Raw genomic sequence first — 22,541 nt, 5'->3', positions numbered from 1 at the left:
AGTGATTTTTCTCTCTCCATACACGGTCAGGTGACCTACATGTCAAGGTTAATTTACAATCAGATACAAAGGCAAACCACATATGGGAGCCATCACAAACACAACACAGCCGGGACTCTCAGAGATGTGCACACACATTGACCACAGACCACAGCTTAAAAGGCACATTCCCTGAGTAAGAGAGAGTATCATTAAACTACCACATGAGGCTAAAGTCAATACAGATCTTAAGATGCTGGGCCAATTTGCCACATCATCGTCCCTTCTCTCCTCGTTCTGGAAGCACAATATTCATTTCTTCCCTCATTCATTTCATTCATTCATTCATTCATTTATCCATTCATCGTGTACTGTTTCAGGACTTCCACTGGACAGGCTGATGCCATGGAGGCTAGTATCAGCCAAATAAGGCGGCCAGCCCTTGCCTTTAAGGAGATGGAAATACATGAGCAGGCAATTCCAAAAAAAAAAAGAAAATGTGAAACCCTTGATTTGAGGCACTAAAGGGTATAGTCCAATTATAGAAACTCTAATGTCACTCTAAGGAAAATCTAATGTCCTTCTAGAATGTTCCTTCGCTTTCCATTGACCTTAAACCTGAAAGGTTTTACTTAAATCCCTCCTACTCCATCACCCTTTCCCTCACTACTTCACACTGTACTAAAGGTCTTCCTTTGTGAATATCCACTGTAATCACAGTCAGTAGCTCCCAGGTTCCTCCCCTTCATTCGCCTCAGGTTCCCTGAATATCAAAAAAAAAAAAAAAAATGAAAATTGCTTGAAGACAAAAGAAAAAAGATTAAAAGAAAAAATAGAAGGGGAAAAAAGAAAAGAAATTCTGATTTTCACTTAAGAAATGGAATTGCGGCCGGGCGCGGTGGCTCACGCCTGTAATCCCAGCACTTTGGGAGGCCGAGGCGGGCGGATCACGAGGTCAGGAGATCGAGACCATCCCGGCTAAAACGGTGAAACCCCGTCTCTACTAAAAATACAAAAAATTAGCCGGGCGTAGTGGCGGGCGCCTGTAGTCCCAGCTACTTGGGAGGCTGAGGCAGGAGAATGGCGTGAACCCGGGAGGCGGAGCTTGCAGTGAGCCGAGATTGCGCCACTGCACTCCAGCCTGGGCGACAGAGCGAGACTCCGTCTCAAAAAAAAAAAAAAAAAAAAAAAAAAAAAAAAGAAATGGAATTGCTTTAACTGATTTGGGTGACAACCGACAGCCAAATTAAGAATATTAGGCCAGGTGCGGTAGCTCATGCCTGTAATGCCAGCACTTTGGGAGCCCGAGGCGGATGGATCACCTGAGGCCAGGAGTTTGAGACCAGCCTGGCCAACATGGTGAAACCCCGTCTCTACTAAAAATACAAAAAATAGCTGGGCATTGTGGCACGCGCCTGTAGTCCCAGCTACTCAAGAGGCTGAGGCAGGAGAATCACTTAAACCCAGGAGATGGAGGTTGCGGTGAGCCAGGATCATGCCTCTGCACTCCAGCCTGGGCCAGTGAACAAGACTCCATCTCAAAAAATAAAAATAAAAAATAAAAATAAAGAATATTAAGCTCACTTCCTTTCATACCTCACACTCTCATCCCTACAATGGACATAAAGTAACGTCTATCTCCTAGAGTTGTTATGAGGATGAAGCGAGCTCATACTCATGAAGTTTTTAGAGCATGATTCCATGATTCCTAAGCTCAGAAAGGCAACTAGGACTGGCTTGAGCATCTACCATTTGCCAAGCCCCATACATTCATTAACTCACTAAACTTCATGGCAACTCTGTGTCCTATTATTATGCCACCTTATGAATGAGCACAGAGTGAGTGCTTGCTATGTTAGCTCCTTCATTATCATCATGATGTGTGCATAAGCCAGTCTAGCAAGCATGGAGGGGAAATGATATGTTTGCTGCATTATACGTATTACTATATTAAGAAAAAAAATCAACTTGCAATTTAGGATTTTTACTTCTTATTTACACATATTTCTCGCCTCCCAAAAAACCCACAAACTCATTAATGCAAAGAACATATTATCTAAAGAAAAAAGATTTAGGTTCCAGTCCTGTTCCAGCTGCTAAATCTGGCATAATAACTATGCACAAGTTTCTCTACGTTCTTCTGAGCTCCAACCTCATCTATAGAAGGGAGGTGAGAGCCCGCTCACTGGGGCAAGATTCATTGTGGGGCTACAGAGAGCCCTGTATAAACCCTGGGACCATGTAAACAGGGGAGCAGTGGAAACAGTTGGCATAGAAACTTATAAGTGCATTCTCCTAATTATCCCTGTCCTCAAAAACGTCAAAATGTTAAACAGTAATATTTAAGCATATTAAACCATAAGAATTCCATCACAGTCAAAACACAGGCTCTCCCAAATCTGAAAAGACATCCAATTCCCAGCTGTTACACATTCCTTCAGTGAGTTCTTTTGACAGAATTTACTCAGTTCCACATGCCAGGCAAGTAAGAGAAGACGAGTCATTTAACATCACGAATAACTGAAATCTGCAGAGAAAAGTGGCCTCTCCATCTGGTTTGAAAATGCACGCTATGGTCTTCAAAGCCAGCATTCATCTCCTAAGTATGAGTTAACTCACATTCTCTGTTTGGGTTTGGTGATCTCCTAATCGATTTGTCTGATCTCAAATCTCTAGTTACCCTACATGTTAAAAATCACTTTCCATCCATTGCATTTGAACTTTGTTTTGACAATTTTCTTAAACAAAATATTGTCATGAACTCTATCACACACACTCTCATCCCCTTAAAAAAACAAAAAAGAGAATAACACGGAATGCTCAGTTCAAAGTCCTCAGCAGGTCCAAGGCCCACTAAGCTCAGTAAGACAACGAGGGTTGGCTTGAGCCCCTACCATTTGCCAAGCATCATACATTCATTAACTCATTAAACTTCACGGCAACTCTATGTCCTATTATTATGCCACCTTGTGAATGAGGAAACTGGGGTATGTGACAGATTAATCAACTTGCTAAGAGCATTCTGGAACAAGGAACTGTACCACTACCCCATCTGACAATAGGAGGGTTCAAAGGAAGATCCGCAATTATTGAAGTACCTTTTGTGATATTCCAAACAGGAAAAGGTTTACTCCATCACTGTAGTACATGTTAGGTTAAATTCACCTCTGCAAAATAAGTAAGTTATTTAAATACAGCAGCCCTTGGACCCATTCCTGTGTGGCAGCCCCACATTTAATTAATCCCAAGGAAACTCCATTGGTCTTTTTCTTCTAATCCCCTCTCTCCTGTGGGTGGCAAAAAACCACCACCACTACCATCAAAACAACAATAACAACAACTTTCAAGTGATAATACCAGTCAGGGTAAGTTCAAAAGACTGAACGCACTGATGGAGAATAATGGAAATTAAAAACTCAATCCCTCAGCCCTGGGTCTGTGGTTTCTGTCCCCTGGGGTTAACGCTGGCACTTTCTGAGTTACTTCAGCTTAATTCCTGCTTCAGAAAGGAGAAGGAGCTGTAAAGGAAAGAGAATGCACTAGCAGAGAGGAGCAAGGGGACCTGCTTTAGAGTAAAAAGTGGATGTTTGATCTCACCTTTTCAGAATATATTTACATCAGAACATGTCTCAAATGAAATAATCAAACTTGTTGAGAAAATTGGTTCAAAATCCTAAACTGTTCTTCCCACAACTTTCCAGGTATACAGGCATACAGCAACGCAAGATTCCAAGAAGCATCTGCACACAAAAAAACACAAAATCCAACTTTGAAGCGCACAAGCAGCAGCAGCTCCTGGGATCCACCACCACAGTTCAACTAGATCACAACCAAACCCCAACAGAGCCCAACACTGCCACAGTTCCACTAGATCACAACCAAACCCCAACAGAGCTCAACACCATCACAGTTCAGCTAGATCACAACCAACCAAATTCCAACAAAGGCCAACACTGCCACAGTTCCACTAGATCACAACCAACCAAATCCAACAGAGCCCAAAACCGCCACAGTTCTGCTAGATCACAACCAAACCCCAACAGAGCCCAACACCACCACAGTTCCACTAGATCACAGCCAAACCCCAACAGAGCCCAACACCACCACAGTTCTGCTAGATCACAACCAAACCCCAAGAGAGCCCAACACCACCACAGTTCCGCTAGATCACAACCAAACCCCAACAGAGCCCAACACCACCACAGTTCTGCTAGATCAGAGGCAAATCCCAACAGAGCCCAAAACCGCCACTGTTCTGCTAGATCACAACCAAACCCACAGAGCCCAACACCGCCACAGTTCCACTAGATCACAACCAAACCCCAACAGAGCCCAACACCACCACAGTTCCGCTAGATCACAACCAACCAAATCCCAACAAAGGCCAACACTACCACAGTTCCGCTAGATCACAACCAACCAAATCCAGAGCCCAACACTGCCACAGTTCCGCTAGATCACAACCAACCAAATCCAGAGCCCAACACTGCCACAGTTCCACTAGATCACAGCCAAACCCCAACAGAGCCCAACACCGCCACTGTTCTGCTAGATCACAGTCAACCAAACCCCAACAGAGCCCAACACCACCACAGTTCTGCTAGATCACAACCAAACCCCAACAGAGCCCAACACCACCACAGTTCCGCTAGATCACAACCAAACCCCAACAGAGCCCAACACCACCACAGTTCCACTAGATCACAACCAACCAAATCCCAACAAAGGCCAACACTACCACAGTTCTGCTAGATCACAACCAACCAAATCCAGAGCCCAACACTGCCACAGTTCCGCTAGATCACAACCAACCAAATCCAGAGCCCAACACTGCCACAGTTCCACTAGATCACAGCCAAACCCCAACAGAGCCCAACACCGCCACTGTTCTGCTAGATCACAGTCAACCAAACCCCAACAGAGCCCAACACCGCCACAGTTCTGCTAGATCACAGTCAACCAAACCCCAACAGAGCCCAACACCGCCACAGTTCCGCTAGATCACAACCAAACCCCAACAGAGCCCAACACCGCCACAGTTCCGCTAGATCACAACCAAACCCCAACAGAGCCCAACACCGCCACAGTTCCGCTAGATCACAACCAAACCCCAACAGAGCCCAACACAGCCACAGTTCCGCTAGATCACAGTCAACCAAACCCCAACAGAGCCCAACACAGCCACAGTTCCGCTAGATCACAGTCAACCAAACCCCAACAGAGCCCGACACCACAGTTCCACTCACAACCAAACCCCAACAGAGCCCAACACTGCCACAGTTCCACTAGATCACAACCAAACTCCAGAGCCCAACACAGCCACAGTTCCACTAGATCACAGTCAACCAAACCCCAACAGAGCCCAACACCGCCACAGTTCCGCTAGATCACAGCCAAATTCCAACAGAGCCCAACACAGCCACAGTTCCGCTAGATCACAGTCAACCAAACCCCAACAGAGCCCAACACCGCCACAGTTCCACTAGATCACAGCCATATTCCAACAGAGCCCAACATAGCCACAGTTCAACTAGATCACAGTCAACCAAACCCCAACAGAGCCCAACACCGCCACAGTTCCACTAGATCACAGTCAACCAAACCCCAACAGAGCCCAACACCGCCACAGTTCCACTAGATCACAACCAAACTCCAGAGCCCAACACAGCCACAGTTCCACTAGATCACAGTCAACCAAACCCCAACAGAGCCCAACACCACCACAGTTCCACTAGATCACAGTCAACCAAACCCCAACAGAGCCCAACACCACAGTTCCGCTCACAACCAAACCCCAACAGAGCCCAACACCGCCACAGTTCTGCTGGATCGCAACCAACCAAATCCCAATGAAGCCACGCGTGTGGACAAGATAAACCCATGACTGCTGAGATCACAAGGTCCCTATCTGAGTTTCTCTGCGACAAATCTTCCCAAAGTTTATTAAGAACACACAGCTTAATGAAATCATTTGTTGATCTCCCACCCACCACCAGCAAGAGTTCTGAAACACATGATTCCTCCAACTCAAGATGGGCCAGAAAGCAAGTAGAAAACCAAGTTGGGTGCTCTATTTTAGTGGAGAAGCTTCCAGAACAGAGGGGCAGAAGATGGCCAACTGAAATGACAGACCATAAGAATTCACTGTGTGTTTCCTCTCTTTTTATCTAATCCCAGGACATGAACACATCTGTACTCAAATTTCAGGACAGTCCACACACTGAGGCCAAATGCAGATGACTTGGTTTCTCCTTCTGAATCCACCGTTGTGTTTTTCTCACACCACTGATAACTGAAAACAGACGAGATGCAAGCAGGCTGAGCAGCAGCAGCCAAGGGTAGGCACGGATGCCTCAGTCAGCCCTTTGTGTCTTGAAGCACGGGCAACTGGCTGGGCAACTTTCTCAGGGCTTCCTCTATCAGCAATCTGGGCTGGACCAGCAGGCATGTAAGTTAAAGAAAATGATAAAGCACAGGCCGCTTTTTTTATTTTAATCTCAAATGCGTGATCTGGATTTCCATTTTGAAAACAAATGCTGGAAAATGTGACCCCTATGCAAGGCCCCCTCCTAATGAGGTCTGCCTGTTATACATGCGTGACAGGCGCTTCATAGCTTGGAACTAACCGCACTGTATTTGATGTGCTCAGCACAGCAGGTGACTGTAGGTAGAAAATCATTAACAGTACCGTGAGCTCGCAGTCAGCAATCCAAAGGCCAAGTTCAACCAGGAAAAATAAAAACCACCACTGCCCTCTACATCCAAGAGACTTCATCTTACACTTCAGGCATTTAAATGTGCTGCTCAACCACAACGCATTAAGCGGGGAAGGGCTTTTAAAAATCCCAACATTTACACACAGAAACAGCAAGCACCATCCAGCCATAGCTGCCTACAAAGCACAGAAGACGTGGCCCCGCCAGGATTTCCAGCATCCGTCCCTGCTACAGGCAGTTGCCAGAGAGAACATAAACAAGGGTATCCAATGGAAGAGGGACAAGGGACAGGATTTACGTTGCACTGTTTATGCTATGGAATCTGTTGTTTTGGGACTCAAAACTTCAAGTTGCCGAGATGCCTGTATAATTGACTCAGAGGCCACGATATGGGCAGCTGGACATACCAATTCCCAGCCAGCCCCATCCAAACTGCCTCAAGGGGAGGGTTCTTTGACCTATTAAGTTTCCTGGGATAAGAAGAACTTTACAACCAGGCACAAGAAGGGATGCTAAAATAAATAAATGAGCACGCTGGGAGGCCGAGGCGGGTGGATCACCTGAGGCCAGGAGTTAGAGACCAGCCTGGCCAATGTGGTGAAACCCCATCTCTACTAAAAATACAAAAATGAGCCGGGTGCAGTGGCGGGAGCCTGTAGTCCCAGCCACTTGGGAGGCTGAGGCAGGAGAATCACTAGAACCCAGGAGGTGGAGGTTGCAGTGAGCCGAGATCGTGCCATCGCACTCCAGCCTGGGCGACAGAGTGAGACCCTGTCTCAAACAAAACAAAACAAAGGAAAGCAAAGCAAAACAAAACAAAACAAAACAAAAAAATTAGCCGGGCATGGTGGCACTGGGCTGAGGCACAAGAATCACTTGAACTGGGAGGTGGGGTTTGCAGTGAGCCAAGATCGTGCCAGCCTCGGTGACAAAGCAGGACTCTGTCTCAAAAAAATAAATAATAAATAAATAAATGTTGATTCTTTTTTTTTTTTTTTTTTTGAGACGGAGTCTCACTCTGTGGCCCAGGCTGGAGTGCAGTGGCACTATGTCCGCTCACTGCAAACTCCGCCTCCCGTGTTCACACCATTCTCCTGCCTCAGCCTCCTGAGTAGCTGGGACTACAAGCACCTGCCACCACGCCCAGCTAATTTTTGGTATTTTTTAGTAGAGATGGGGTTTCACTGTGTTAGGCCAGGATGGTCTCAATCTCCTGACCTCGTGATCCGCCTGCCTCGGCCTCCCAAAGTGCTGGGATCACAGGTGTGAGCCACCGCACCCGGCCGATTTTTTTTTTTTTAAATAAAGGTGAGGTTTCGCCATGTTGCCCAGGCTGGTCCCAAACTCCTGGCCTCAAGCGATCTTCCCGCCTCGGCCTCCCAGTGTGGAGATTACAGGTGTGGGCCACCGTGTCCAGCCTGAAATGAATAAATGAATCATAATGGCAAAGGTATCATCCTGAACCTTCACACAGCCAAAGAATTGTGTTTGTAAACAAATACAGCGCTGCCCACAGAATGTCGTCCTGTGATGACGGGGACGTCCACATCTGCAGCGTCCTGTGGGCAGCCACTAGCCGCATGTGTCTACGGAGCACCTACAATATGGCTAATACCACGGAGGACCTTTCTATTTGTTTTATTTAAGCTCAACTGGAATCTAGCCTGGTGTGGCCAGCACTCCTTTATGGGCCAGTATAGCTCTGGTCCGCCAGGAGGGAGGATGACAGGAGACGGGGTTTGCTATCAGAGAAAAGCAAGAGAGCATGAACAGGTAAGCAGAGAAGAAGGTGACCAAGCCGCGAGCAGCCGTCACCCCAGTCTCACCTATCCCGACAGGAATGCAGACAGAAACCCAGAGAGAGAATCGCAAGGGTTCTCTGGTCAGTCAACCCCAGGTGAGGACAGGGCTGCCCAGGCAGGCACCTCACCCCTGGGTGCTGGGGTGCGGGTGCCAAGGCAGAGTGAGAGTCTGCAGGGAACTGACATTCCTGGGGGGTGCAATAGACACCTGCAAAGAAATAAGCTAATTTTATGTTTAGAAAGTGCTACAGAGGCAACAGAAAAGGGTAACCGACTGCTGGGGAGGATATGGAGAGACTGGAGCTCCCACTTGATGCTGGTGGGAATGCAAATGGTGCAGATGAAAAACAGGCCAGCAGCTTCTCAAATGCTTAAATGTAGAGTTACCGTAACTCCATGGTTATTCCATTCCTAAGTCTATGTCCACACAAAAACCTGCACACAAGTGTTCATGGCAGCATCATTCTACCAAAAAGTAGAAACAAACCAAATGCTCATGAATTGATGAATGGACTTTTTAAAAAAACAGGTGGTATATCCATACAATGGGCTATTATCTGCCATAAAAAGGAATGAAGTACTGATGCATGCTATCACACGGGATGGGCCGTGGAAACACGCCACGTGAAAGGGGTCCCAAGCAAAAGACCCCCTAGTATGATTCCGTTTATGCAAAATATTCAGAATCAGCACACCTACAGAGACAGAAAGATAGGGTTCTCCAGGGGCTCAGGGGAACAGGGAATCACAAAGTCATAGCTAAAGGATACAAGGTTTCTCTTTCAGCTGATGAAAATTTTCTAAAATTGGCTATGGTGATGTCTGCACATGTGTGTGAATATACTAAAAGCCACCGCATTGCATCACCCATTAAATGGGTGAATTGTAAGAGATGTGAATTTGATCTCAATAATGACTGGGGAGAAAGCTGCAGCTGGAGTGTTCAGGCCTCTCGGAGCAACGGTCCCCTTCAAGGCTAAAGGGAGTCAGCCCCGTGAGGATGCAGGCGAAGGGCGTTCTGACCAAAAGTAACAACAGCAGATGCCAACTTCCCCAGACTGGAACCCGTTTGGTGCGTGCGCCAGGCAGACGGATGCCCGGGTGGCGGGACCTGCCCTGTCCATGAGGTAGCCACAAACAGCTGCCAAGTACTGGAGATGTGGCTGGCTAAATTGAGAGGTGGTAGGTCAAACTTCCAAGACCCCGGATCAAAAGAAAAGACTGTTAAATACTTGATTAATCTTTGTGTGAATACTGATTACATGTTGAAATATTTTTGATATCATGAGTTAACTAAAATGCATTAAAATTCATTTCACCTGTTTTCTTTTTAATGTGACTACTAGAAAAGTTACCGTACATAGGTGGCTGGCATTTGCGGTCCAAATTATATTTCCTGGGCTGCATGAGGCACAGAGAAGAGAGTGGAGAGGCTGGCAGTGGGGTGGTGACTCGAGATCATATAAGGGCTCAGAGGCATGAGGCAAGAGTGAGCTTTAGTTCTAAATGTGATGGGCCACTGAGGACCTGATGTGATTTCATTTCTACCATGAACACATCGCTCTGACTATTCCAAAGACTGGAGGTGAACAAAGAAGGGGGTGGCCAGAGAGAATGACATGAAAGCCTGCCTCAACTGGTCAGATTCAGAAACACACACACACACACACACACACACACACCCTCCTGGTGGGGGGAAGAGGACAGTGTTACAGTTAAGAGCCCAGGCTTAGAAACACATTGCTTGGATTTAAATCTCAGCTGCAACACAGGAAATTTCTGTGAGCAAATTATTTAACTTCTCTGTGCCTGACCTTTCTCATTCACAAATAGGTTATTACAGGCCAGGCGCGATGCCTCACACCTCTAATCCCCACAATCTATAAGTCAAAGTGGGAGGATCGCTTGAGGCCATGAGTTCGAGACCAGCTTTGGCAACATCATGAAACCCCATCTCTCAAAATGTTTTTTAATAAATTAGCTGGTGGCAAGCACCTGTAGTCCCAGCTACTCAAAAGGGTGAGGTGGGAGGACTGCCTGAACCCAGGAGTCTGACGCTGCAGTGAGCTATGATTGGACCACTGCACTCCAGCTTGGGTGACAGTGTAAGACCCTGCCATTCATTCATCCACACATCCATCCATTAATTAATTAATTACATAGGTTTTAATAGCCTTCCTCATGCAGGTTAATACACTCTTCTTCAAATGCTTAGAATGGTGTCAGGCACATAGGAAGCACTCAATAAATGTTAGTGATTATTATTGAATAAAGTATGTGAGGGAAGATGATAAACTTGTTTTTTTACTGAGAAACCAGGTAAGAGCTGGTGCCGTTTAGTGACAGTGGGCAGGATGTGGTGGTGAAGGCAGATCTGGGCAGGAAGAGCAGCGGCTCCATGTGGGCCACGTTAAGGTTGAGAATCATCTTGGTCCTCAAGTGGGAATGCCAGACAGAGAGGTGACTCTCTAAAGATGGAGCACAGAGGTGAGGAGGCTGGGCTGGCAGCCTCAAGGTGAGATTCCACTTACAGAGAGTGTTGGAAGGTTTGGGATGGATGGAGACAGAGCACAGAAGGCACTTGGAGCAGCACTTGGAGGCGGAGAAGCAGAGGAGTAGCCAGAGGGAGACCAAGGAGGAGCCATCGAGGAGGCCGGGGAGGAACAGACAACATGCCACACAGAAATCGGGCTTAGTGGAGTCAATGCTCTCAAAGGCACCGCAGGCGGAGGAAGATGAGGGCAGGCCATGCACGAGTCTGACCAGATGTGGTCCCTCACAGGCTCACCCAGGACAGCACAGCTGGCACTGACATCCGGCCTCCCACCCGGGGAACACCCTCTGGCACTCTCAGAAGGGACAGCTTGTCACCCGGTCATTGGAGAAGGAATGGACACAGTTACTAGACTGGAAGGGGCAATCGGAAGGCAGGCGCTGGAGAGGGCAGGATATAGTCTCTACAGGTCACTTCTTTCTACGGAGTGAGGCACAACAGGGGCAGTGGCCAAGAGGGACGTGGCACTGGTAAGGACATTTTTAAAGAGAAACGTCATAAGGCCTGTTTTTACGCTATTTGGAAGGATGCGGAAGAAAGGAAGAAACGAATAATGCAGGAGGAAAAAGGGTTAACTGCAGGAGTGACATCCTTGGGAAGCAGGAAGAAGATGCCTTGAGAGTGGCAAGGGGCCTGAGTGAGACAGGAGCTGGGGAAGCCTCCGCGGCAGCAGGTGGAAAGGTGGAGGCGAGACAGGGGGTCTCACTGACTGAACGGCTTCTTTCCTCAATGAGACAAGCAGCAAAGTCATCAGCTAGGAGAATGATGGGAGGTGTGGAGAACTGATGAGCAGAAGGTATGAAAGAGTTTTCTCTGAACCGATGAAACTGCTGCAAAAGTGTAATAAGATTCCTGATACAATGAGTGATGACAGCCGATCTGAAGAGATGCAAGTCCAGTTGGCAGTTTTGGAATAATTGTGAAAGTGGGTTTAACCAGGGTGGGGTGTCCAACCGGGGCGGGGGTCTCCTCAGGGAGTACAAAGCAGTTTGGCTGTTTACAGGAAGGGACCATGAGGTTCAGGCTACAGCAAAGTCCCCTGAGGGCACCGGAAAGGGGGTGAAAAGGTGGTGGGTCCACAGATTGGCAAAGCCCGGGATTTCCAAGACGATTTCAAGTGGGAAGGCTGGGAACGGAAGATCGCAGAGTGGGGTGCCTGAGATCAGGGTTCTAGAGGCTAACCTGGACGAGATCTAAAAAGGGTCACTAAAATGAGGTACAGAAAGGCAGCTGGACCAGAAGAAGTCAAGAATGGACAGGCCAGGTTGCTGGGTGGATACTCTGTGAAGAGACCAGCAGGGTTGGCGGTGTCTTCAAGGGCCAGCCAGGCTTCCATTAGAAAGAGAAGGTGCGGGAACATTCAGAGGTGGTGGAGGATGTAAGGATGCTGCCATGACAGGGAACCCAAAAGGCACAGAGGCAAGAACAGTATAACAGATATAAACAGTCAGTGGGGCCAGGTGCAGTGGCTCACACCTGTAATCCCAGCACTCTGGGGGGCTGAAGTGGGTGGATCACTTGAGGTCAGGAGTTCGAGACTAGCCTGGCCATCATGGTGAAACTCCATCTCTGCTAAAAATACAAAAATGAGCCAGGCGTGGTGGCACACACCTGTAATCCCTACTCAGGGGGCTGAGGCAGGAGAATTGCTTGAACTTGGGAGGCAGACACTGCAGTGAGCCGAGATCATGCCATTGCACTCCAGTCTGGGCAACAGAGCAAGACTCTGTCTCAAAAAAAAAAGAAAAAGAAAAAAGAAAAAAAATCCATCAGTGGGATGGGTGGACACCACTTGACAACTGCTTTGAAAGCAAACAATAAATCAGCCAGGTATAGCAGCCTCATTAACTCAGCAGTATCTAAATACACATCATGTGAAAAGTTACCACAAATTTTAAGTCTCTTAAAAAGGGCAAGTTGGAGGTAGCAAGGCAAACACCACTCCAGGGCTCACTAGACTTTTATATTTTATTTTATTTTATTTTATTTTAGACAGAATTTTGCTCTTGTTGCCCAGGCTGGAGTGCAATGGCGCAATTTCGGCTCACTGGAACCTCCTCCTGGGTTCAAGCTATTCTCCTGCCTCAGCCTCCTGAGTAGCTGGAATTACAGGCGCCCGCCACCACACCCGGCTAATTTTTGTATTTTTAGTAGAGACGGGGTTTCACCGTGTTGGCCAGACTGGTCTCGAACTCCTGACCTCAGGTGATCCACCCGCCTTGGCCTCCCAAAGTGCTGGGATTACAGGCGTGAGCCACAGCACCCGGCCTAGATTGAGTTTTAGACACTTGTCAGCAACTAAACACTGCCAACCCTGCCATCAGGTTGTGGGCACAAAACCATCACTTCCACCCCAGCCCTAGGGCTGAATGGCAGCTGTAAGCCAAAGGGCTACCACTAGAGGGCGACACAGCCCAAAGACTTGAGCAACTCCCAGGCACTGATTTTAATAAAACAAAGCTCTGAGCAGAACGAGTTGAAATTTCTCAAGTTCAAAAACCTAGTTTATTTTTTAAATGAAACAATACTATAAAAACATAGAAAAAACACATATATGGGTGTGCAGAGAAAAAGGTCTCAAAGGCTTCACACCAACCTGGTAACAGGGAAAATAAGACATGGGAAGGGAATGGGGCAAGGCAGAGAAATGGCAGACCTCCACTTTTTAGCCTAAAGGCTATGCTGAGTATTTTTCAAGATTGCATTCATATATTATTGGGATAATTTTAAAATACATTACAAATCAGAAAATATAATAAACATAGAAAACATATAGTTGGCCAGGTGTGGTGGCTCATGCCTGCAATCCCAGCACTTTCGAAAGCCAACACAGGATGATGACTTGAGCCCAGGAGTTTGAGACCAGCCTGGGCAACACAGTGAGACCTCATCTCTACAAAAAAAATTTTTGTTAATTAGCCAGCTGTAGTGGAACTCGCCTGTGGTTCTAACTACTTGGGCAGTTGAAGTGGAAGGAGCGCTTGAGCCTGCAGTGAGCCAGGGCCACACCACTGCTCCAGCCTGGGTGATAGAGAGACCCTGTCAAAAAAAAAAAGAATGAAAGAAAAGAAAGAAAGATTAACAACTGAACAAAACTTGCTACAGACAGAATCTCCAAACCAGCAGCATTCAGAAGGGTTCTAAAATCTATCTCACTGAATTCTGTAGGTAGTTCCTGAGGAAAACCGGGCCCCCAAAGAGTAATTTGCTCCAACAGGGGCCAAAGTTAAAATAACAGCCCACTCTCATCCAAGATCCTAATAACACACGTGAGAATCCTTTCTCTGTTGTGTCCTCTACTAAAATGCTAGCAGTTATGGTTTGGTCATCAATTCTCTATCTTACTAATATCATTCTACACTCTGTTCTCCCCACCAAAAAAAAGAGAAGACACTTTTACTTAGATCACATTGCTGAAATGGCATGTCTTCCTTTGGCTAAATTAAATTTTAACAAATATCTGTTGAAACTTTCATCACTTGATAGAAAAACATCACTTAATTATTATAAATCTAAAAACCTACCTAAGTCCATATCTTCAAATTATCTGCAATGTATAAAAACAGTCCAAGCAGAATATGGTAATAGTCACCTGAGTACATAAAGATACCAGTGGGGATGGGGGAGTGAGGGGGGGATTACATCTGTTGGACTAAAGAAAATTTTCCTGAATTTGAAGGTAGAAAGGGACTTTTTTTCTTTTTTTTGAGATGGAGTCTTGCTCTGTCACCCAGGTTGGAGTGCAGTGGCGTGATCTCGGCTCACCGCAAGCTCCGCCTCCCAGGTTCATGCCATTCTCCTGCCTCAACCTCCCGAGTAGCTGGGACTACAGGCTCCCGCCACCACGCCTGGCTAATTTTTTTGTATTTTTAGTAGAGACGGGGTTTCACTGTGTTAGCCAGGATGGTCTCGATCTCCTGACCTCGTGATCCGCCCGCCTCAGCCTCCCAACGTGCTGGGATTACAGGCGCGAGCCACCACGCCCGGCCGTGGCATTTTTTAAAGGGTGAACATTTGCTGCATACTCATTATGAGCTGGGCATTGTACTGATAGTATTTTATGTTTTGTTACCTCATTCCATCCTCACAAATCCCAGTGAGGTAACTGTAATTAACCTCATCGTAGAGGGAGGGAGAATACAATTGGCCAATGAATAGCAGAACCAGGACTCAAACTTAGGACTGCCTAATCCACACCTGCTCTTGGCTGACATCAGAAGGCCTTGTCTTTACTCCTCCTGGTGTGTTTCATTTCACCCCCTGCCTCTCTCCATCCTTGCTGTCTGGCCTCGACAGGGATTTCTGCCTTTCTATTTGGGCAGTCCAATCTGGCTGACGTCAAGGCAGCCAGAGAGGTTTCATGGGTTCTGAAGAGAGCAAGCAAGAAGGGATCCAGAGACTGGAGAGGCCGATCCTGGCAAGGAGACTTCTTCCTTAAAGGATCAACAGGCAGAGGGAAGATCTTCAAAGACGATTAAGGAAAATTATCAGATGGCTTGCTCCACAATGCGATGTGTGCCAATCTGCTGCAGAGGGAGATTAAAGGGGGCCTGGGGAGCCAGGTAAGAACAGGCCGTGGTGCTTGACCCTGGCTGCTATGAGAACCACCCGGGCAGCTTCTAAGCAAACCGCCAATGTCCAGGCCTGCCAGCCCCCGACCAATGAAGTCAGCATTTCTGGGTGTGAACCCCAGGGCATGGGGGCAGAGGTAGGGTTTTAAACCTCCCCCAGGTGATTCTGATGTGCAGCCAAAATTGAAAACCACTGGGCCAAACCAATAGCTAGGCGAACTGGACAGTTACACAGGGTCCAGCAGGGGCTGCAAACTCTCAGTCGTCCAGTCCCAGCTGGCTGAATCCACTTGTTATAAAGCTACACCGCTTAGCTTGGTGACATTCACCAGCAATTTCTGCGGCTAGGAACAGAGAGAACACACCAGGGCCATCCGGGACAGCAGGTCAGTGGATCGGGGTAAAGGTGTGTAGTGTGACTGCAAAGACACTGTGGCAGCTGCTGATGAAGGAGTCCAGGCTGATAAGCGATTCCAGAACACAAATGCCAGAAAGAGAGACTCCAGGGAGGCCCAGAAACCAGGCTGGGGGCAGAAAAGGACCTCAGAATAGCCTGGGTACCTTTTTCAACACAAATGTATACAGGTGCCCACACCTCCCCCACCTCCCCCATTGCTCTGGCCCTTAGGAAAGTGAGCAGGCAACTGGACTTTGGCAAAGCCCTCCCAGGCTTCCACTCTCCATGGCCCATGAGAATGACTGGAACAGAAGGGAAAGATGGGGACAAAGGGAAGGTGGGGCATGAGGGGTAAGGTTGGAGAGGGCAGACTGCAGAGCCTGAGAGCTTAGAGGTGAAGTGTTTTCAATGAAGACTGGCTTGGATTAAAGAGAAGGAAACATTATTGGATTTACTTCGCTGACAAAAGATGAGGACAGTGTATTAGCAAGCACAGCCACAGGGCTATCAAGAGCCTTTGGGATGACCCCGGGCCTGGGTAACAACAAAATCCAAGACCCAGAAAGGTAGTAGCAGGTGGTGTGAGCTGAGGTTAGGACCTTCAAGAGAAACCCAGTTCCGCTTGGGGGGCTGAAGAGGATCTGGAATCAGCGCCCACCCAGGGAACAAGAAATGTCAGCACTGAGTGTGATGTCAGCTCCCCCACCCACAGGACACAGGGGCCTTCACTGGAGAGTGGGAGAAAGTGTGTCCTTCCTCAGCTGGGAGATGAAGAAATCAGATGGGCTTCTCTTCGCTCTAGTGATTTGGTAAGTATTTCAGGACATCTTCAAAGATTCAGTGCAAAAGATTTGGCAACACCGCCCCCACCACCCCGCCACACACACACAGACACATACATACACACAAACAACAACAAAACAAAAAAGAAGAAAAGGGAGGATGAACAAGAGGAGGAATACAGGTTCCTAGAGTGGCGAGCACTGAAAAGCAGCAGCGCAGTTCTTTCAGATTTTTATTTTAATAAATAGGATTTTGTAAACAAATTGTTTTAACACACTCATTGATGAAGCAGAGCTTCTAGTTATATCCATAAAAGAGATGAGAAAGTAGGAAAAGCCACAAGTCTGCTTCACCAATTTCAGTTTCCATTTTTATCTACTCAAAAATGTTCAGACCACAAATTCTGCATCCACAGCCTCACGTCACAGGCATCATAAGCACCTGACAAGTGCTTACTGCGCAAGCAGCGCCTTACCAGAATCCGGCAGGATACGTAAGAGCATGTGCCTCTTGATAACCATGTGTTCACAAAGAGATCTGTGTGTTCACTGACACAGCAGATGTGAATTCTGAGTCATACACAGGTTAAGGTTCACTCTAACAACTTGGCAATGCCAGCCGAACTTCTGAGGCTATTGCATGAAGGAAAAGGGAAGGGAGCTAGTTAAGTCATCTTGAGGGGACAAAGAAATGTGGAGTGGTGCAGTCTCCAGTGTCAAGTCCATTCTTTCTGCTGGGCTGTCATTCACACTAAGCATACTGGAGCAGCTGTTCTAAAAAATGAAAGCAATGCCTGAATAAAGCAGAGCCAGCCACTATCCAGAGGTTAGGAGAGGGGAAGCTTCTCCTGGCAGCACTGACGAGGAAGACGGGAAACATTCTATACACTCCATGTCATGGAGTATATAGGTGTGTAGTGTGACTACAAAGACACTGTGGCAGCTGCTGCTGAAGGAGTCCAGGCTGATAAGCGATTCCAGAACACAAGTGCCAGAAAGAGAGACTCCAGAGAGGCCCAGAAACCAGGCTGGGGGCAGGAAAGGACCTCAGAATAGCCCGGGTACGTTTTTCAACGCAAATGTATACAGGTGCCCACACCTCCCCCTATTGCTCTGGCCCCGTCAGGGTAACCGTGAGCCACGTTTGCTACATTTCGAACAATCCCAGGGAAACTGGTTCAAAGACAACTGTGAAGCGATGAGGATGGTTTTCATACATACAGACCTCTGGTCTCATTAGCTTATAATTTTACCTTTTCCACTATAATGCAGTTCCCCAATAAAGAATAAAAAATGGCTGACTGCTTCCCATTTATTCCCGTAAATAAAGATTAACACACAGAAGCAATGTGGCTGACATCCAAACTCAAAAGTGTACACAAATCAAATTCGAATATGATAAAAAGTAAATTGATTGTGTATTATCTTGAACATAAATTATTCTGGATGGTAATGAGGATGAACTGTTTTTCCTGCTCCAAGGCAACTGGGCCTGGAGGTATTCTACTTCTTCAATAATATATGTGCTGATTTACATTAGTGTCTGGAACCATGACCTTAAATGAATCTGTAAAAAACAAAGCACTTGAGCAAAGAGGCGGTTCTGCAAATGCTCCAGAAGAGGAAAATCTGTCTGAAAATTCTTAGTTCATTCCTCAACTGTTTACTAAGCACTTGCTTTCTCCCAGGTATGTTAAGAGCTGCCGCTTTCTTACTCCTGAAATTCCCTTCTAGATGGAAGAAGCTCTGTCCAGCATATTCCTCCTGCCTCTCCCACCCTCACACACTCCAACCAGGGTAAGAAAGAAGGGCCAGCGTTGGCAGGAGTTTGGGTAAAGAACTGGCTGTGCCAAGCCAAGCCCCCGCTCCTTGCTGTATTGTATCCTTCACAAGGAGATCAGTCCAAAGGATGGACCATCAGTGTGAAGAGCAGCTCAAGCCCATGCTGGCACTCACCAGGGTGGGCATGGGGGATGTTAAGTCTGCCTAATTCCATGTTCTGTGTTAGGAAGCCCACTGGCCTGGACATAGAAGCCACATTCCTCTATGTTAAGCCTTTGCCCTAACAAAGGTGATGCTCTGGTCTCCCTCTGCAAATGCTTTTGTTATTTCTCTGGTGAACTGTACTTACTGGACCCCCTTGAGTCCCTTGAGCTTAGAACTGTGCTACTATTGTATAGGGCAGTACAGTTTACAACCCATGAGCTGGCCCCAAATTTAGGCTGCATTAGATGCACCTGAAGGGGTTATTTTAAATTGCAAATTCCTAAGACCCAGGCCATAAACTCTGATGCAGCAGATCTGCAGAGGGCTGACATCTGCGCCTGGAAGAACCGCAGCTAAACCAAAACCACATTATGAGAAGGCATGGAAAAAAATTCATGGATCTCTATACCTCTGAGCTTTAAAACAAAAACACAGTATTTTAATAAGTCTGATTTTCCACTTCCATAAAATTAAATGATTTTGTGGTTGATTTGGTGACTCACAGAAAATGCTTACAGGGCAAGAAGACTGGAAGTAAGAAACGCAATTCTGAGCGTGCTGTCTGGAAGAAGCGCTGTAATCAAATGACCAGGTGGTCACTGCGTTCTATCAGGATGTCAGCCTAAGTTAGCCAGAGCCCAAAGAGGCACACTGGGGTGTGCGCTGGGTCCCTGTGCAGGCACAGGAACCACTGAGAAGGACACAGTAGTTTTGGGGGAAAGTTGGCTGTACCGGGTTTGGTCAAGCTATCCAAAAATCATCAGGCCTAAACACGCCTTGCTCCTCCAATAACATCAATTTCCAACCCAAATTTAAAGTTAACAAACGTAGAGTGCTTTCTAGGGCCTGTCAAAGAGACACACTGTACTGATTTTGCTAACCTCTTAGCAAGGGAAAAATAATCCTATTTCAAGATCTATAATGTCAAGTTTGCCCAAAAGGTGAAGTTAAAACTAACTCTGTATTAATAATATTCCGGGAAGTGCTCCCCTCTGTCAACGTTTTGCTCATGTCCCAAGTGTCCCCACGGCATTGCCACGCAACACAAGAGAGGATGCACATTCCCTCCATTTAGGCAGCAGTTCAACAGAACTAACGGGAGAGAGTAAGTCAATCTTTCAAAAGTCCAAAAATCCTCAATCCCCATTCTCAATTCAGACCAGGTTCACAGTCTCCTTCCCCACCAGAGTTCTGGAAATTAGAATCCAGTATTTCTCAACAACTTCTACAAGTATGAGAAATTTAAACTCATCTTGAGAGGACTCCTGGGTTCCCTCTGAATATTTTAATATCCTGCATTAATGAGGAAAATGCAACTAACCTCCTATGTTTCCTAAACAGACTTGTCTTCCCGAAAAACTTGAATGTAAGCAGGGAATTGCATCTCCCCTAGGACTGCTTTAAAAACCTCTACCACTTACTACAATGGATTCCCAGAAGGCAACTGGACTGCATGATTCTAAGGCACCTACTGTGGGCCCAGAACCAGAAAAAAAAAAAAAAAAGAAAGAAAGAAAGAAAAGAAAAAAGAATGAAAAAGAAAAGAAAAACATCTCAGGCAAATACCAATAGGAGTCGGCAAGAAGACAAAGGCCAGTGAGCCAGGTTCACAATATCAGACGCCTAAGGTTTAGCCTACCACTGCCGCAGGTGGAATGACGGTCCCCCAAGATGCGCGAGTCCTAATCCCCAGAACCTGTGACTAGGTCAGCTTACACAGAAAAGGGGGATTAAGGCTGCAGATGGAATTAAAGTTGCTAATCAGCAGACCTTAAAATAGGGAGATTATCCTGGATTATCCAGATGGACACAATGGAATCACAAGGGCTCCTGAAAGTGCAAAGGGAGGCAGAAGGAGAGCATCCCAGGAGGAGATGTGACCATGTGGGAATGGCCACAGAGATGCTACTCTGCTGGCTTTGCAAACGCAGGGAGGGGACAATGAGCTGAGGCTGCTAGATGTCCTGCAGAAACTGGGAAAGGCAAGGGGATCCTCTCCTAGAGCCTCCGGGAGGAACACAGCCCTGGCGACACCTTGAGTTTAGCCCATGTTAGACTCTACCCTACAGGACTATGACTATGAGATATAATAGCAAATCCGTGCTGTCTGCAGCCACCGCTCTGCGGTCCTGCCTTACAGCAGCCACAGGAACCCCACCTGGGATGCTCCAGAAAGTCCATGCTCCCATCTTCACGTTCCAGCATGACTTCTGCCCATGTATGTCAAGTACTATACAAAGACATAATGGATTTTAAAAAGCAAGACGGTAAAAGATAAAGGTTTTAAAAAATCTCTTGACTGCTGGAGGCCAAGAGTTTGGGATCCCCTGGCACACACATAGACTTCCTGCTTTTTACTTTATATGTGTGTATGTGTGTGTGTGTGTGTATATATATATATATTTTTTTTAAATCTCCCAATGGATTCCAAAAGCAAAAACACCTTTACCCTACAAATGCTGCCCAACAGCAAAACTGTCACTAGAAGCAACACTTCATCTTGAGCGTAAATAACAAATTTGCCCAAGTACTAGAAATCTGTGAAAGCACGTTTTCTAATTTAGTTGATAAATTGTAATGATGGAAGGGTCACTCAGAGTTGTTTAAGAATGCACAGCCCTAAAAACTCAAAAGTGGTTTCTGCCTTGTCTCTGCCAGGGCCTACGTTCATATTTTAAAAACACAAAAAAACATTAAAGGAGATCTCTCCCAGCAACACAAGCGAGCCAAAGTGCCCTGCGGCTGGTATGAGAGCGCACATACCCTCACAGGGGACAGAGGACAGAAAACGTGGGCACTGAGGCCCCATGTCCCTAGCCGCAGCCCCCACCCCCAGCCATCTCGGTCTTGGGCAGGAAGACCCATGAGGTCCCAGTCTCAGTTCATAACTTGTCCCCCTGCATCTATTCTTGCCACCAACCCCACACCCCCAATCCCAATCCATCTGCCACACAGCAACTAGAGTGGGTTTTGTTTTGTTTTGTTTTGTTCTTTAACTTGGATAATGCCTCCCCTCTGCTAAAACCCTTCAATGACATAGCACCCCACCTTGAATAATGCCCAAATTATCAGCTCGTCCGTAAGGCCGTCCCACTTTGGCCTCTATGAGCCCCTCTTCTGGCAGTCTCTGCACTCCAATACAGACTTTATTTCAGTTACTCTAACCTGCCAGAGTGTCCCTGCCTGGGAAACCCCCTCCAGCCACCACAGTGTCCTTCCCAGGCAAGCTCCTCCCCTTCCTTTAGGTCTCAGCTAAAGATTTTTCCTGCTTCAAAAAGGTTCTTCCTGACTCAACCCCCACCAAAGAGAAAGTCAAACTCAATTTGAGAAGCCCCTCTAATTCTCTCTTGGAAATCCCTTTCCTTCTACAGCCATTGTTCAATCTGTAATCACATCTGCCTTGATTCAATAAAGGTATATTTCCCCAACTAGACCATAGACTCCATGAAGCAGGGACCTTGTCTACTCTGTCACCAATCATCATCAATCAAGCATGAAATTCAGACTCATCACTCAATAAAGTGTGTTGACCAAATATACAAACTACAGAGTGGTCAGCATTGCTCCCCTTTAGAAGCTGCCTTTAAGTTTGGGTTCCTCTAACAAACTATCACAGACTGCGTGGTTTATAAATAACCGAAACTTATTTCTCACAGGTTTGGAGGCTGGGAAGTCCAAGATCAAGGTGCTGGCAAATTCAGTGTCTGACTAGGGCCACTTCCTGGTTCACAGAAAGCACGTTCTTTGCTGTATC

The 22,541-nt window shown here is 46.8% G+C and overlaps 1 protein-coding gene across 25 annotated transcripts in view, besides 1 other annotated feature; it reads right to left on the bottom strand.

Annotated features, from left to right (window-relative positions):
* NEDD4L (NEDD4 like E3 ubiquitin protein ligase) overlaps window positions 1-22,541 on the bottom strand; it is a 357,315-nt gene that overhangs the window by 266,003 nt on the left and 68,771 nt on the right. For 2 of the 25 annotated variants that reach the window (XM_047437403.1, XM_047437405.1), the window contains exon 1: window positions 6,668-6,685. The exons of the other annotated variants lie outside the window; for them this stretch is intronic. The gene's annotated coding sequence lies outside the window, so the exon portion shown is untranslated. Of the gene's footprint in view, window positions 1-6,667; window positions 6,686-22,541 lie in introns of those variants that run through there. 25 annotated transcript variants of the gene reach the window in all.
* Window positions 9,100-9,599: an enhancer, noted in NCBI's record as "H3K4me1 hESC enhancer chr18:55793171-55793670 (GRCh37/hg19 assembly coordinates)". NCBI's record gives its function as "activates a minimal SCP1, AML or CMV promoter by ChIP-STARR-seq in primed H9 embryonic stem cells {active_cell/tissue: H9 hESC(primed)}" and the evidence as "EXISTENCE:reporter gene assay evidence [ECO:0000049][PMID:30033119]".

The sequence above is a fragment of the Homo sapiens genome, chromosome 18, assembly GCF_000001405.40.
Source record: "Homo sapiens chromosome 18, GRCh38.p14 Primary Assembly".
NCBI classification, from domain to species: Eukaryota; Metazoa; Chordata; class Mammalia; order Primates; family Hominidae; genus Homo; species Homo sapiens.
The sequence above is the reverse complement of the archived record's forward strand: the minus strand, read 5'-3'. Positions and strand labels throughout refer to the sequence as shown.